The sequence below is a fragment of the Homo sapiens genome, chromosome 13 (genome assembly GCF_000001405.40).
Source record: "Homo sapiens chromosome 13, GRCh38.p14 Primary Assembly".
NCBI classification, from domain to species: Eukaryota; Metazoa; Chordata; class Mammalia; order Primates; family Hominidae; genus Homo; species Homo sapiens.
Genome location: NC_000013.11, coordinates 75,323,251 through 75,340,475, shown reverse-complemented (window position 1 = coordinate 75,340,475; position 17,225 = coordinate 75,323,251). Strand labels below are relative to the sequence as shown.

The window sequence follows — 17,225 nt, the reverse complement described above, 5'->3', positions numbered from 1 at the left end:
ATTTCATCGAAACTGGAGATAGCCCAAATGGTGAAACAGCAGTAATATCATGTAAATGGTACCCTAGCTGCAAACTGAGGGATGGTATTTTTGTGCATGTGGTCTAGAATTTATCCTCTGCTGCATATAGAAGAAGCAGGACCACCAGCCGTAACATCAAAGGGGATTGTGAAATATTTACTCTTGATAACACTAATTCAGGTTATATCTTTATTTCACTATATTCAGAACAAATCACATATTGTTAGTACACAGTCCTTCATTTAGTCACAGAACAAGCATTTCTTGAGAACCTTCTATGAGTTAAACTATGTGATGGAAAAAGGTGACAAAAAAACCTGATGAATGAATCATGTCCTCTCCAGAGAATAGCTCAAATATTTGAAAGGGGAATGCAAACAGATCAATAGATACATAGAATAAAGTCAATAAGTGGCTTTAAAAAAGAATCTGTAGTGAGCACAAAAGTAGCTGTGTCTTTGCTTTGGAGCTGGAGTAGAGAGTAAGAGAAGAGGAGATTCAAGAGGAAGGACATTTTGAGGGAGTTGGAATTTTAGGAGAGATAAACTTTGCTGTCAGAACAGTTGAGGAACTGTACTTTTTGGGCCGGGTGTGGTGGCTCACGCCTGTGATCCCAGCACTTTGGGAGGCTGAGGCTGGTGAATCACGAGGTCAGGAGTTTAGAGTCTGGCCAACATAGTGAAACCCCGTCTCTACTAAAAATACAAAAACAATTAGCCGGTGTGGTGGTGTGTGCCTGTAATCCCAGCTACTCAGGAAGCTGAGGCAGGAGAAGCACGTGAACCTGGGAGGTGGAGGTTGCAGTGAGCCAAGATCATGCCATTGCACTCCCCAGGCGACAGGAGACTCCGTCTCAAAAAAAAAAAAGAACATTGAGCACAAAGTTATGTAGTAGTGTGCCCAAACTTACTCCATGCAGGCACTGGAATTAGGTGCTGGTTTTGAGGTTGTGCTTGGGGATTGGTGGGGGAAACAAGGCTGGGATGATAGGCAGAATGAGATGAGGAAGGGCCTTAAGTTACTGGCAGGCCTGACTTTGTCATGGAAGGATTTCAAGTAAGGGAGTGAGAAGATCAGATTTGCACCACAAAGAGAAAATTCTGCTGTTCTTCTGATGGTAGATTTATTTATGGGGGAGGTTGCTTGGTTGAGGGGGTTAGGACTAAGTCATATTCTCCAGTTGGGAGAATGTTTTAATAGAATATGTGATAAGTGATTTAATTATTGCACAAATCTTTATCGAGTACAGACTGTACTAGGAAACAGTGATGAATAATGGCGACCCTTCCCTGCCATCTAACTGTTTAGGAGGAGAAACCAATGTGAAACCAAATACATTAAAATATGATGTGATTGGTATAATGATGTATGCACAAGTTAGAGGTAGCATTGGTACATAAATAGCTTGAATAATTCGTCTTGAAGCATTTATTTGACTCAGAGAGGCCAAGCTAGAGCCCTAGAGAAGTGGGGAAGGAACTGAGTGAAGAGCTATTTAGGCGGCATAATCATTAGGACTTAGTGACTGGCTGGAAGAATCTGTAAAGGAAGGGAGAGGGAGTTGCTGTGAACAACGTCAGGGTTTCCCGTGTGGGGAAATTTGATGAAACAGAGCCGGGAAATAAAGAAAGCAGACGAGAGTGGGGCAGGGGATGAGAATAAAAAATAAGAATTCAATTTGGAAATGTGTTTGAGATTCAATTAGAAAAATGGATTTGGTGCCCATAGAGGAATTTGAGGTGATGAGTAAGGAGGTTGATACATTTGGTGCCTATAGAGGAATTTGAGTATAAATATGGAAGACATGAGCTTTGTTGTGGACCTGAAGTTAAAGGAGGATGTTCACGAGATGTGCATTTCTTTGTGATGGAGAAATCACAAAGAAATGATCATACAGGAGGAGATTTTAACAATATTTTCATGTTTTCTTGCTCGTAGCTAAGCTTCTGCCTCCATCACGCTCTCCTTTCCTTCATTTCCTTCCATTTATTCAACTGGTATTTACTGAGCAGTTACTATGTGTCAGATATTTGCTAAGTGCCCATACAGTTTTTGTATTTTTGTCACATTTGTTTATCTGGAAGCCTTAGAATAATGAATGATCCCAGTGCTTTATACACACCCTGAGCCCTGTCCAGCCCACATGTATACCCATTGTTTTTTTTTTCCTCTCCTTTCCTTTCTTGGTGGGGCCTTTCTTGCATCTGTAACTTCTTAACTGATTTGATGGAGCTGGTGCTAGTGTGGGCCCTTATTGCCTCCTACATAGACTGTGCTGAAGCCTCGAGTTCAGTTTGATGTTTCAGTCTGATTTTCCTGTCTTTTAGATGTGTTTTTGAACACTTCTTTTTGATAACTCTCCCTAAAACATTACATTCACAGGGATTTCCCTCAGCTTATAAATTTGGATTGCTAATTCTTCCTATTTACCTGGCACTTAAGAACATTCAAGGTTTTATTTTCCAGCCTGAGTTTCTCGTGTTACCTTCTACTGCTCCCTTCTATTAGGCAGGTGCAGAAGTAATTGCAGTTTTTGCCATTAAAAGTAATGGCAAGCAATATTTTAACTAAATACATGCCCTGACTTTCTCTCCCTTAAGCAATCCACCCTTTAGGATTTTGCCAACAAGCATCCCCAGTTCTGGGGAAGTCTTCATCCCTTTCTTCCCGCCTGTCTGAATCCTGTGTATTCTTTTCTTCCTGTTTAGACCCACAGCCAATCTTCCTGCTTTGGTATTTGATACTTACACGTGCTTTGTGTTGCTATTCCCTCCCCAAGCAAATCATAAGGTTTCTCGCTTGAAAGTTTTTTGCTACTAAGGACCATGTGATATACATAGTAGCTGCTTACTTCAATGGATAAAATACATAGAGAACCTAATATAGTGGACACATCATAGATTCTCACCCAGTTTGGTTCTATACTTGTGATCTAAGACATAAATGACCCACTCACGAATGAAAATGGAATTATAACAGAGGCATTACCAGAATCCAGTTTTGTTTGGAAAATGCTTTGTTCTTTGGAACTTGTGTTCTGTGTTTTTCTTGGTAATTTGGATATAAAGTATACATCTTGGAAAGGGATGGTTATAGATGTTAATCAGAGTAGCAGTAGTAAAAATTGACATATCAAGTATAATTTTTGCTAAATGCAGTAGGAGTGTATTCATGGAAAGGAAAGGCATGAAGGAAATATTTTACATCTGTCTTTTTATTACATACAATATGAAAAATTAAACCCCTTTCCTTATAAGCATTATGTTCACAGTGTGGGACCTAAATTATTACTTATTAATAGAGCTACTGAAGAATTCTTGTGTTTTTTAATAGCTTAGTCTTAAGCCTATAATTAAAGTTTCATTTAACCTTGAGTATTTCCAAACTAAAATGTATCTGTTTTTCTTTTTTTAGACTATTTCAAATAGTACAATCCCAGAAAATGCAACAAGCAGTGGAAGGTTCAAACTTGACATTCTGAAAAATAAAGCTAAGAGATCCTTAACTAGCTCCCTGGAAAATATCTTCTCAAGGGTAAGATTGCACCAATGGTCTTTCAAGTATGCATATCTGTGTTTTCTAACAGTTTAGCTTCAGTCTCAACAGGCTCACTGATTTCCTTAAAACAAAAAACAAACAAAAAAAAAACCTAAGATAACTTTTAAAAATTATTTAACAAAAGGATCTTTTTTTCTTTTGTTTTTTTGTTTTTTTGAGATGGATTTCACTCTTGTCACCCAGATTGGAGTGCAGTGGTGAGATCTCAGCTCACTGCAACCTCTGCCTCCTGCATTCAAGCGATTCTCCTGCCTCAGCCTCTCGAGTAGTGGAGATCTCCCGCCTCAGACTCTTGAGTAAGGCAGAGATTACAGGTGTACATCACCATGTCCGGCTAATTTTTGTATTTTTAGTAGAGACAGGTTTTTACCATGTTGGTCAGGCTGTTCTCAAACTCCTGACCTCAAGTGATTCACCTGCCTTGGCCTCCCAAAGTGCTGGCATTACAGGTGTGAGCCACCATCCATGCCCAGCTCAAAATGATCTTTTTTTTTTTTCCTTGAGACGAAGTCTTGCTCTGTCACCATGCTGGAGTGCAGTGGTGCGATCTCAGCTTACTGCAATCTCTGTCTCCTGGGTTCAAGCGATTCTTCTGCCTCAGCCTCCTGAGTAGCTGGGACTACAGGTGCGCGCCACCACGCCTGGCTAATTTTTGTATTTTTGGTAGAGACAGGGTTTCACCATGTTAGCCAGGATGGTCTCGATCTCTTGACCTTGTGATCCACCCACGTCGGCCTCCCAAAGTGCTGGGATTACAGGTGTGAGCCACCGCACCTGGCCCAAAATGATCTTTCAAAATAAGTTTGCTTCTCAGATCGAGATTTATTCTGGGGCCTTTATTTGAATTCGAGCAATAGATATTTAGTAGTAGAAATATATATGTATAGAAAAGGGGAAATAGAATACTGATGCTCAATACTATAAGAACTTTAAAAATCATTTCCCATAGAAAGTTATAAAGAAATTCTTCTTTTGCCCATTGTATTAGTTCATTTTCGCATTGCTATAAAGAAATACCTGAAACTGGGTAACTTGTAAAGAAAAGAGGTTTCATTGACTCACGGTTCTGCAGGTTATACAGGAAGCATAGTGGCTTCTGCTTCTGGAGAGACCTCAGGAAGCTTCCAATCATGGTGGAAGGCAAAGGGGGAGTGAGACATCTCACATGGTGGGATCAGGAACAAGAGAGAGAGAATGAGGAGGTGCTGCATACTTTTAAACAACCAGATCTCATGAGAACTCAGTATCATGAGAACAGCACCAAGTGGATGGTGCTAAACCATTCCTAAGAAATCCATCCCTGTGATCCGGTCACCTCCCACCAGGCCGACCTCCAACATTGGGAATTACAATCTGACATGAGATTTGGGCGGATCCAAACCATATCACCGATTCTTAGGAACTTAGAGGAAGTGCTGAAAAAAGTATAAATTAATGGAAATTTATGTATTCCATTTAGTAAGTATATATATTCCATTTTAAAATAAGCAAAATGGTTCCCCTTCAACTTCATTTTCCTCTTCCTGAACAATTCTGCCTTAGAGCTATTAGGTGAGGTCAAGCTACGTGGGTGTTCTGGGCTGTGGCATGGGGGACCCACTGTGGCTCAGAGCAGGGAGACTGTCCATATGGGGTGTGGAATGTGGGGATGGCCCGATGCAGGGTGTGGGAGCCTCTTGCAGTAAGGAGGGAATCTGCAGAGAAGGGGAACCTGGTTTGGGAGGTTGTAGGAGGCAGCATACTGGCAGAGGGAAGGCCCAGTGCGGGTGTCAGAGCCACAGTGGAGGGGAGCGAGCATTCACAGGGATGGGTGCCTAAGCAGGCTGAGGATGTGCACGTGTTGGGGTGGCAGCCCCAGCAGGGAGTGGCACAGCCTGGGTGGGATGAGGACAGTGTCTGTGCAGTGGCCATTGTGGAGATGGGTTATATATACACAGGGACTGAAGAAGTAAGTAAATGTCTTAAGGATAGTGGGGTCCAGGGAGGAAGAAATTACTAATATGAAAAGGGTAGAAATTAGAATGAACCCTGTGTTGGATTCAACTTGGAGGTATCACACTAAAGAACTTACTCATGTAACCAGATAACACCTGTTCCTGCCTGGCCGACATGGTAAAACCCCGTCTCTACTAAAAATACAAAAAAATGAGCCGGGTGTGGTGTTGCGTGCCTGTAATCCCAGCTACTCAGGAGGCTGAGGCACGAGAATCACTGGAACCCAGCAGGCAGGGGTTGCAGTGAGCTGAGATCATGCCACTGTACTCCAGCCTGGGAGACAGAGTGAGACCCTGTCTAAACAAACAAACAAACAAACAAAAAACCACCTGTTCCCCAATAACCTATGGAAATAAAAAAATTACAAAAATAAAACTTGGAGGTATCAATATAAAATCATGAATTTTATATACATGTAAATATAGACATATTATATATACAATCATATAGAAATATATATGTAAATATAAAAAATGTAAATGTAAACATAAGTATATATGTATATGTTCCTACTAGACAGAACCAAGATTCTGAGAAACATGGCTAATTTCAGTACTGCAGGAAAAGTATGATCCCAGAACATCTTGGTGTTTTAGATAGTAGGAAAATATTCAAAGAAAAATGGTGACGTGTCATAAAGACATAAAAACCTTGAAAGGGCTCCCACTGGGACAATATGAGCGTTGACATAAATGATAGCAACAGATAATCTAACCTGTTGCATAAAATAGGCAACTATTTTCTGATACAAAAAATAAATGAATATATTGAAAGTTTTATCATAAATAAGATATTTGCTGTATGTAATTAATATTTATTAATTACTAATGGGAAAATAACTTTACAATGGAGAAGGCTGGCAGGCACCACCAAGTGATCAAATTGAACATCATCAGCAGTGGGACAAATTGCAGCCCTGTGCCACCTGATATGAAGAAACAGAACTGCTTCTGTGGTATTCCTGTCAAATAGGCAGTGCTTGAATCTAATCAAGGGGAAATGTCAACAAACCCAAATTGAGGTGGAGTCTACAAAATAACAAGCCTGTTATCTTCAAGAAAGTCAAGAACAGGTTGAGGAATAACTCCAGACTGAAGGACCCTAAAGAAACACAAAAACAAGTGGAATGGGAGATTGTGAATTGGATCCTTTTGCCCTAAAAGCCATTATTGGGACAACCAATGCAATTGGAGTGAAGTCTGAAGATTCAATAGTATTACTGTATCAATGTCAGTATCCTGGTTTTGAAAGTTGTATTTTAGTTATATTGGAGAATGTCCTTTTTTATAGAAAATACACAGTAAAGTATTTCAGGGTGGTGGAGCTTTATATTGGTAACTTACTTGAAAATCGTTGTGGGGAAAAAAAATTTTTGTACTGTACTTATAACTTGCCTCTGCATTTGAGATGGCTTCAAAATGAAAAAAGAGAAACAAAGTGATCGTTTTAAACCTGCTTATCACACATGCCTCACAAAGCCCACCCAGGGTGTTTTTTTAAATTTATTTTTTCTGCTTGCTGTTTTCATGTGTTAATGAATAGCTCAGGTTATTAATGGATCACAAGTACTGCCATTGTACAGTCATCAATAAGGGCTCTTTTCTGTACCCAGCACACTGCCTGTGAAAACCAAGTAGTAAGACTGGTTGGGTGGTAGGTGTTTTAACTCCTGTGAACAAAGTTTCAAAAGGTACCCTTGATGACTTTTTAAAGTCTCTTGGCCTTTATGTTAATACACAAAGAAAAATTTCACCTTCAGTGTATAAGTGTCTTCCTTAGTGATCTCTCAGTGCCTTTAAAGAGGCAAATGAGTGGTAAAAATTCTTAGACTTTGAGAGGAACTTTGAATTAACCATTGAACTCTATTTGCAAATGTGTATTGTTTTTAAAAACATTATTTCCACCTGTTTAACCTTAGTAGCATTATAAGAATATGTTTAGTTAAATAGTTGGATACATTTTGATTTTTTCCATGCTTGTGCAATAGAGCATTAGGACACAGTAACTTCTGATATCCCGTGTTCCTAGTTTTGTTTCTTTGTTATGGCTCAAAATACTTTTCTAGTTATTTCTCTTAATGATAGAGATCCTTCTAACTTTAACAGAAGCCCTGCAGCAAGCATGATCAATTGTGAATGCCATTATTTTATCAGTGGAAAACTGAATCTCAGAAAAGAGTATCTAGGAGATTTGTCAGAAGTATGCCAATGCAAATTTCATAAAATATGCCTTTTTCCTTCAAAATTTATAAATTAGTAAAATCCTGGTCCTCACCCCAGACCTACTTAATCAGAAACTCTCGGGGTGGGGTCCAGTAATTTGGGTTTCAACAAGCCTTCCAGGTGAGGCTGATGCAATTACACTTACTTAAGGCACGTGTAATTCTTAAAGCACCAGCATCAGAAACAGCATCAGCTACCTGAATTGAACACAGTGTTTAGTGAAAATTTTAGCAGAAAAGACCATTTAAGTAGGTGTCAGGGTACCTGAATGTAATCCCTGGCCCTAGCCGATTTTATATTTATGATCTTGGATGAATTATTTGCCTTTTCTAAGCCATAGTTTTCCCATTTGTGAAATGGATATATTAACACCCACTTGCCTCATGTAATTGTGAGGATTAAATGTTAGTGTGTTAGGGAAATATCACATCATAGATAGGAGGTGGTATATTCAGTAGTAAGCTCAAAACCTCTGTCATTTACAAAATGGCAAAGGGTATTTAGGGTGTTCCTTTATCTCCATTTAGTACCTTGGCATCCTGCATAATACTTGCAGTGCCAACTTTGAAGTCTTTTTTGCATGCCTTCAATTGCTGTAATGACATTTTCAGCAAGGGCACAGCCAATCTGTTTTGATCAAGGTGGATACTGTAGCTTTTGTTTCCCAGAGTGATGCCAAATGACATAAATTTTGCGACCTAACAAGGTCTTGCTTGTACCGTGTGCAACAGATTGCACTTTTTGGGCAGGTTGGCAGCTCCCCATGTTGTATTAAAGGTTACATAGCAAAAGGGGTTTTGTATACTTCTAAAACTTGTCTTTTTTTTTTTTTTTCCTGCTGAGTTGTATAGTAGAAAATTCACACTCCAGTTTTGGAGTTTAGCTCATAATTGCTGCCATTTTTAAACATCAAAATATTTTATTTAGCTAACTATAGTTGTTTATGAAATAGGATCCATTTTTTAAATGCAAAGAAACTCAGCTCATTAACCACTAAAAAGCGAGTCCAAGGGAAAGGGCCTGACACATGAATTAGCAAATCACAATGTAGTAAAACAGAAAAAGCTGTCTGTTCAAAGGTGAAAATCAGAATCATGTAATGGCTATCTGTTGCTTTTATTTTTTCAGTTGTTTTCCAAAACAGAAATATTTACTAATATAAATTTTATTTTATTTTTTTGAGATAGGGTCTTGCTCTGTCACCCAGGCTGGACTGCAGTGGTGTGATCATAGCTCACTGCAGCCTCGAACTCCTGGGCTCAAACAGTCTTCCCGCCTTAGCCTCCCAAGTAGCTAGGACCATGGTCACATTCCACCAAGCCTGGCTAATTTTATTTTTATTTTTTTTTGTACAGACAGGGTCTTATCATGTTGCCCAGGCTGGTCTCGAACTCCTGGGGTCAAGCAATCCTCCCACCTCAGCTTCCTAAAGTGCTAGGATTACAGGCATGAGCCACCATGCCAAGCCAATATTTACTAATATAAAGTGCAAGTTATTTTAAAAATAGTACTCATTTTCTACTTTCTTCAGAGTAATATCCATTGTCTTTACTTGTTGAAATGTGTGAAGTGGTAGAGTATAATTTTAAAGTAACTTTGTTTTTCTTTGTGCACAAAAAAAGCTTGTGTGGGTAAAACACCACTATGAGTAAAATAGGTGATTTCAGTTGTTTTTCTAGTAATAGGAATGGTTTGATACCCATCTGACTACTTTGTCTGTTAAGACCAAATAACCTGTCTGAGATAACCAGGCAGGTGGGCGTGTAAGTAGCGCTAAAAATAACAGCAATCTCATCTTTACTATATTTTCCTCTTGGCTACACACACTAACCCAATAATTTATTAGCCACAAATAGAGTTTTTGTTATTGGAAGGATGCCAATTATAACATAGAACTGAAGAACTGAAAAGAATTTGATGAGGTTCTAGGACATTTACAAAATTCCATGTAACCTGTGTAGGCTAATTAGCTTTATTTGTAATTCTCTTTTTCACAGAGCTTTAGTTTAGGGATGTAGTAGTAACAGCTCAGGAGCTTCACTTTACAATTGTGCTTCCTGTGTCAAAATTGCTGCCCTTTCTTTTAACTAGCTGTGTAAACTTGGGCAATGTAATCTATCAGAACTTCAGTCTCTATATCTGTGAAGACGGGCTAAATAACCATACTTACCTCACAACTGGTATGAGGATTAAGTGAGCTAATGCAGTGTAAAATCCTTAACGTAGTATATGGCACATGATAAGCGTTCAATAATATTAGGTGCAGCTATTAATTTTATTATTGTTTTAGTTATCCTATAGTAAGCCATTGGAGATAAAGCTATAATATATGCAGATAAGAATAAATATTGCTTTACGAAACAAGATAGGATGTCATAAATAAAACACAGTCATCTGAAAAGAAGAAAGAACTGTTTAAACTTTCTGATAGTAGATGTAAAAAGAAAAATTCAAGAGAAGGCTAGGAAACTAGAGTTGAAAAAAGGCCTTTCAGAAAATGGAGCAAACTTCAAAGAAATGGAAAATAGGAGAACAAGGTAAAAAGTTAAAGGATTAGTCCAGAACCAAACAGTAGGAGTTCCAGTAAGAAAAAATGCCTGCAAGGAAATTTTTAAAGAAATAATTTTAAAAATTTCTCAGAGCTAAAGAGCGTGAGTTTCCAGATTTAGTGAACTCAGAAAGTGCACAACAGAGTGACTGTGTAAAAGTCATGCTAAGGCACGTCGTTGTGAAATTTCACAATGCCAAAGGGCAAACTTAGATTCTGTTCCAAAGAGAAACAGCAGGTCAGACACACAGGCTCTAGAATCACAATGGCTTTAGACTTCTGAAACAAAGGACATTTGAGCAATGCTAAGATATTTGGAAGCAAAATTTCTAACTACTACAATATACGATATCCAGCCGAACTATTAGTGAAATACAAGCATAGAATAATGACATTTATGGACATGTACATTTTTTAAAAAATTTAGTTCCCACTCTCCCTTTCTCAGAAAGCACCCGGAGAATGTGCCTCACCCAAATGAGGAATTAAACTAAAAAAGGAGAAGACATGGGACCAAGGAAGCAGAAATTCCAACAGAGGAGAGAGTCAAAGGAAATTTCTAGGTTGATAGTGAAGGAAAATCCTGGGAAGCTTTGTAGAGCAAGCCTATATTGTAACATGTCCAGATTGGGGCAGAAACACAGAGGTCTCCATAATGGTAGCTTAAAAAAACAAGCGGGGGAGAGAGAGAGAGAGAAAGAGAGAGAGGAGAGGAGACGTGAGGGGAGGGAAGGGGAGGGGAGGGTAATTGATGGTTGGTGTGGTGATGTTTGACCATATTGTGAACTGTAGGAGAGTTTTGTAATATATTCGTGTTTGCTGAAGTAGTCACTAACTCCATGAAAAACAAAATATATAAGATATGAGGTGTAAGCAGACATAATCATAGTAAAATATGTCGCTCAGCTGCAAACAATACTTACAGTCCTAATAATCTAAGCACAAAGTACTGATTTAACCAAAATTCGTGATGTAACTATATTGAAGGAAGAGGGGAAGAAAGGTGTGTGTGGGGGTTGGGGGGAGGTGGAACTGGGTATATAATGAGGTAAGAATATTAAATTTCATCTTCCAGAGTTAGGAAGTCAATAGATACTTCCTAAAATGGAAAGCTTAAGGAACGGTAGGATAAGCTGAATACCAGAAATATCAATATAAATAATTTCAAGGTTCGCTTTTGGGGAGTGGGATTCAGAGTGCAAGAGAGGGGGTTGATGACCACCACTTTTCATTATAAACTTGATAGCACAGTTTCACTTTTGAAACTTTGTGCTGATATTACTTTGATTAAAAATTAAAATGAAATGCAACCCCTTACCCCCGACCCCCAAATAAACCTAAGAATGTTTGCAGACAGAGTCGAAGCCTGGAAAGTACTATGCAAATGTTATGCATTGTTAAAAAATTTCGCAGGGTCACTGTCACATGGATCTGACTGGTGTTTCCACTCATTCTTTTTTAGAACTTCGCCACATGCTCTAGAGTTGTGTGGAACTCCTCAGTCTGTGTTTTGTCTTTTAAGACCTTGTAGATGATGAGGTTCCCAACCTGACTTGTATCCTCTTTCCTTCTATAGTTGGCCTCAGTTTCTTCCTATTTAAAGTGAGGGGGGAACAGAAAGAATAATCTCTTAGGTTCTTAGGTCTCTTAGATCTTAGGTGATCTCTTAGATCTCTTTCTGAGATCATTTATAAAATCCACACCAAAGGACTATGTGAAAAAAAATTGATAACCAATTCACCAGTATTGAAGCAGACTGATATCTAGTCTTCCAGAATTAAATGATTTCTTGAAATAGTTTGGCATTATGGAATAATGAATGATGCAAAACCGATAAATTTTAGAATGTGGTTTTCTTTTCCATGTGGTTTTTAACTGATGTTTATTATAATCCTATAAATGAATTATGATGTTTTGATCTAGGTTGTATGTATTAAGTCATTTTCTGCATAGCTTTTCTGGTTTGTTTTGCTGTATCTTCCATATTTGAATCTGAGACAGAGTTAATTGGGGCCCTCACTGAACTTATGGATGAATAACGTGTAATCTTGTAACCAAACTAACTTCAAAAAGCTTGGTCTGAGTATCTAGTTATCTAACGGCTGATTTAAAAATAATGGAAATAGATCAGAAATAGTTATTTTTACTGTGCTGTAATGACTATTAATAAAGCCAACAAATTTAAGTGAACCACAAAATGATCAATTTAATGCTAACATTAAGAGACCACCTGGAACTACCTTTTATAGTTTTGAAGTAAAATTTTAAATCACACGAAGCACTTAATTTTATTCTTTTCACTCAGGGAGCTAACAGAATGAGAGGTCGGCTTGGAAGTGTGGACAGTTTTGAACGGTCCAACAGTCTTGCTTCAGAGAAGGTATCTAACTAGAGCTTGTTTACACTAATTGCAACTTAACAAAGTCAGCACCGATATGGTAATATGCATGCTCCATTTTTTATTATGAATGCTTTATAGCTTTTTAAAAAATAAATATTTGAGACTTTATTATTTTAACTAAGAAGATTCTAGGCATTAGCATGTAGCTTCTTATTCCCTTACAGGCTAACTGTGCTCTGTTAGGCTTTTTATTGTTTGGAGATAGTATGCTTTGGACAACAGTATTTGAGCAACTATTGATCCAATGCCTTATAAAAAATGAGCCATATATTAGTAATTATATACTTGTACAGTGATTTTATTTGTTCCCTTCCCGTGTTATTTTCCCCCCTCATTTTTTAAAAATCATTTTAGCTGCAACACTGGGATCTTCTTTATCTCATTGACAACTCTCGGTAGGTTGGGTTTCCTGTTTCCTGCGTAGTGCAGTATGTCACCTGAGGCACATGCAGCCTATTTTTTAAAATGGAAATATATTAAAATATTTCTGTTAAACTTTCTGTTGATGGAAGTGGGGACTTAGTCCAGCTATGAGTCTATTATCACTAACCCATGTTTATCAAGCTAAATATTTCTACAGTGGTGCCTGTTCTGGAAAGTTTTAACAGCATACCTGTCTAAATTGAGAGATTTATGATTTCTACCCATGCAATATGAGATGCATTCCAGCATAGCTCGGTTTTCATTCATTTCCTGTTTTTCATGTGTTTTAAAAGAAATTTACCTCAGGGAACATGTAATTGAATAGAAACATCCACGGTGAGGGAAGATACTTAACAGACTTTATTTTCCGGAAGGCTTTGCCATGAGACTTGGACACTTAGGCATTGTAATACTGTTTTGGCAGTACAGGAAGCATGCAATTGATATGTCACGGAAGCCAGGAGATACGGAAACACAGACTCCACCCTCTTTTGGTCATGATCTTTTTTTCATCTCTCTGGCAACAGTGAGAGAAGTACAGTAGCTCTAGCGTTTCATCACAAAGTGTCAGGGGAGAGAATAGCTTTCACTTTTTTGTCATCCCTCTCACTTTCTGGCCTGTCTTTACGGATGCTGTCTTACAGCTGCTTATCCAAAGATAAGTGGGTTGTGGTGATACTGATTACAGCTGCTTATCAGAAGATAATGGGTTGTAGTGATACTGATTAGCCTACGGCATAAATTAAGTAAAAGGGGGAGGAAAAACAGTTTTGTCATGACTCAGGAGGAAGATGAGGCACACTGTCACTTTTGAGCTCTGTGTTTTGGCAGGTCTGCCATGACCCACGTGGGAAATAAAGGGCTCCCTTCCGCTTGTGTTTCAGGACTACTCACCAGGGGATTCTCCACCAGGGACACCGCCAGCGTCCCCACCGTCCTCAGCTTGGCAAACGTTTCCCGAAGAGGATTCCGACTCCCCGCAGTTTCGAAGACGGGCACACACGTTCAGCCACCCACCTTCAAGCACAAAGAGAAAGCTGAATTTGCAGGATGGGAGGGCTCAGGGTGTGCGTTCCCCTCTGCTGAGGCAGAGCTCCAGTGAACAGTGCAGGTGAGTCTGACCCTCTCCAGAATGAGACCTAGATTCTCAAGGCACACAGTTTTGATTACTCTGGAGTCAAGGTGGATTGTGAATTTATGCTGTAGCCAACTTTTAGTTTTGAGAAACACCATAAAAACAAATTAAGTTACCTCATTTACTAGGCGAAACAGGCAAGGTTAAGGCATACACAAAAAGAAGAGTTAATTCGTTTGGGTGGAAACTCTTTTGTTTTTCCTTTCAGAAAAATAGAAAAAACAAGATAACCATGCAGTTGTTTTGTCTGAAAACCTGCTGATAACACGTTACGCAGTGTCTTGATGATGATTCTAGAGAAACAAAGTCAGCAGATTTGAAAATAACATAGCATTAGAACTTCCTGTTAGCTTATGATAAAATACCAGGGTTTTAAAAGTCACCTAAGTTACTTTCATACATGAGATAATATTTGGCTATATTTTGTTACATAATAAATTAAAGCTGAATATGAAAATTGTTATAAATTGTATCTAGAATAAGGTGATATGTATAAAGAAGAGTATATATACCATAATTGACAGGCAGTGTCCACTTAGAAAAGATCTTACACAGTATTTAAAACATAATTTAACAAAAAGTTGCTTGATATTTGGTGAGAAACAGTAAAGAGGATAAACTTGGAATGATTTTCTTCTTTCTGTGTAACACAGATCAAATTTATATCTTAGAACTCATTTTGTTTCTCTTCTTTACCTATGAATTTGTTACGGAAAATAGGGTTAAGTAAAGATGCTCGTTGGAGAGAAAAAAAAAAACACAACTCGATGTAAAAGGAGAAGGCTAATTTTTATATCGTGTGTTACAAAATTTGCCTGCATTTCTTCTAAGGATACAGTTTTATTTTCATTGTTGTTTTCTGAATGACTCGAAATTTAAAAATGAGATATTTTATGATACAAAAAATAAAGTTAACAGAGTTCATTATTCTCAGATTTTTTTGCTGTGTGTGTAAAGGATATTAAGTAGTCATATGTATATCAAGATATTTAAATGATCACTTCATATATATTTACTCAAGGCAATAGAACTCTTTTTTTTTCCAGGAAAAATTATTTTCAATAATTAAAGACATCAATCATTTTAGACTATAAATATCTCAATCCTTCCCTCTGTTTTCCACATTTTATAATGTATAAGTTCAAACAATTTCTATCACTATAAAAAGATGCTCTCTGTGTCATTGTGAAAGCTTGCTATGCAAAGAATCTTCTAGATTTTGGGCTTTCGATTAAACCATAGTGGCACAATTCCACTGTCCTCAGGAAAGAACACGGACATTAATGTTTGTTAAGCCAAAGGCATTATGATAACTTCCAACAACCAAACATGTTGTTCTTAAATATTTAGAAGGGTTTATATCTTTAAAATAGTCAAAGTCTTTGAACTAGTGATAATCAGTCCTTCCTTCTGGAACTTGTTTCCTGTAATTATTTGTGCTTTCCTGCTTTTTTCCCTTGAAGTGTCTTTTGCATGTGAAAACAAATACTTTTTGTCCTCAAATTGTTAAGAAATTTTTAGAGACAAACACAGATGCTTAGACATACTGTATAGATAAGGAATTCAAATTGTAAAGGAATGAAATTAGGTCATAGTTATCTAAATAGAGAACTGCATGCTTCTTCTTTTTTTTTCATGTAAGATCCAGCCCTGAGCCTTGAAAGGAAAGATTAAATTAATAGCAAGAACCTGTTTATATGCTTTTTCATAGTGAATGAAGATTTTGTCAAAATATAAATTAAGACATATTTGCTGTATTTTCTGTACTCAGCAATCTTTCGTCAGTTCGACGCATGTACAAGGAGAGTAATTCTTCCTCCAGTCTTCCAAGTCTTCACACTTCCTTCTCTGCCCCTTCCTTCACTGCCCCCTCTTTCCTGAAAAGCTTTTACCAGAATTCAGGTAGACTGTCCCCACAGTATGAAAATGAAATCAGGTGAGATCAGTGTCCTCTGTTTGCAAAGCAAAATTTTCTGCAGTGATATACTGATATGTTACTAAAAAGTGGTTGATTAATTTTGGAGTGACATTTATGCATCCCTGTGTTGTGCTTGTTCTAATCTGTTTCTAATATATTGGTTTCAATCCCAATTAATTTTATTAAGAGAACTTTTTCAACCAGTAGTTTCAAAGCTTTTTGATGATATGATATCTTTTTGAATTATGCTTTTTGTATTGTTTGTGTGTTTCGTTTTCTCAAACTCCAGAGTCTAAGCTTTGTATTGTTAGCACAACTGATGCTAACATATACTAAGTGAACCTTCCCTGATTGTGCCTTTTTTTTTCCTTGGCCTTTCTAGACATATTTAATGGAATCCAAAAGCCACTGATTGACATAACTGTACTAAACTGATAGATACAATAATGTCTTTATTTTTAAGTATATAGAATATTTCCTAGGCATTTCTTTGATTTTTCAATGACAGACTTTTCTGGATCTCAATATAAATCGCATAATGGTTACAAGATCATATGGATAGCAACTCTTAGATAGCATGAGGGATCTGTGAAGGACCTCTTGAATCTTGTGAACGACCTCTTGAATCTTGTGAACATTCTATTTTGTTTTGTTTTTATCCCCAGTATGGAAAATGTATAGCCTGTTAAATCTTATTCTTGTTCTTTTAGTAACACAAAATTAGACGTAGTGATTTTTGGAGAATTGCTTTTTTTAAAAAAAATTAAAATTATACATGCAATAATATTGATCATTCAAATTCTTAGTGGGGTGCTGCAGCCTCTAGAAAGTAATGGGCTTACTTGGGAACCTTTCTAAATTTGTTGGTGTCATAGATGTTTGTGAGATTCATTCCTGTTTTTGTGTATAGCTTGACTTATTCACTTTTATTGCTGTATAGTATTCCATTTCATACATTACATTTTATCCACTCTCTTGCTGATGGATATTTGGGTTGTTTCTTG

At 37.6% G+C, this 17,225-nt stretch overlaps 1 protein-coding gene across 11 annotated transcripts in view, besides 2 other annotated features; it reads left to right on the top strand.

Moving 5' to 3' along the window:
• The window catches only part of TBC1D4 (TBC1 domain family member 4), a 198,667-nt gene that overhangs the window by 141,694 nt on the left and 39,748 nt on the right, over positions 1-17,225 (top strand). For 4 of the 11 annotated variants that reach the window (XM_011535331.3, NM_014832.5, XM_006719903.4 and 1 more), the window contains 4 exons: positions 3,436-3,555; positions 12,650-12,724; positions 14,053-14,279; positions 16,075-16,239. In XM_011535331.3, coding sequence (XP_011533633.1) covers positions 3,436-3,555; positions 12,650-12,724; positions 14,053-14,279; positions 16,075-16,239 — 587 coding nt within the window. Of the gene's footprint in view, positions 1-3,435; positions 3,556-12,649; positions 12,725-13,705; positions 13,831-14,052; positions 14,280-16,074; positions 16,240-17,225 lie in introns of those variants that run through there. The other 7 variants (XM_047430810.1, NM_001286659.2, XM_047430808.1 and 4 more) reach the window with 4 other exon arrangements.
• Positions 13,433-13,552: an enhancer, noted in NCBI's record as "active region_7822". NCBI's record gives its function as "activates an Ori minimal core promoter by ATAC-STARR-seq in GM12878 lymphoblastoid cells {active_cell/tissue: GM12878}" and the evidence as "EXISTENCE:reporter gene assay evidence [ECO:0000049][PMID:35858748]".
• Positions 13,613-14,812: an enhancer, noted in NCBI's record as "BRD4-independent group 4 enhancer chr13:75899800-75900999 (GRCh37/hg19 assembly coordinates)". NCBI's record gives its function as "activates an origin of replication core promoter dependent on BRD2, P300/CBP, MED14 and CDK7 cofactors, and independent of BRD4, by STARR-seq in HCT116 cells {active_cell/tissue: HCT116}" and the evidence as "EXISTENCE:reporter gene assay evidence [ECO:0000049][PMID:35650434]".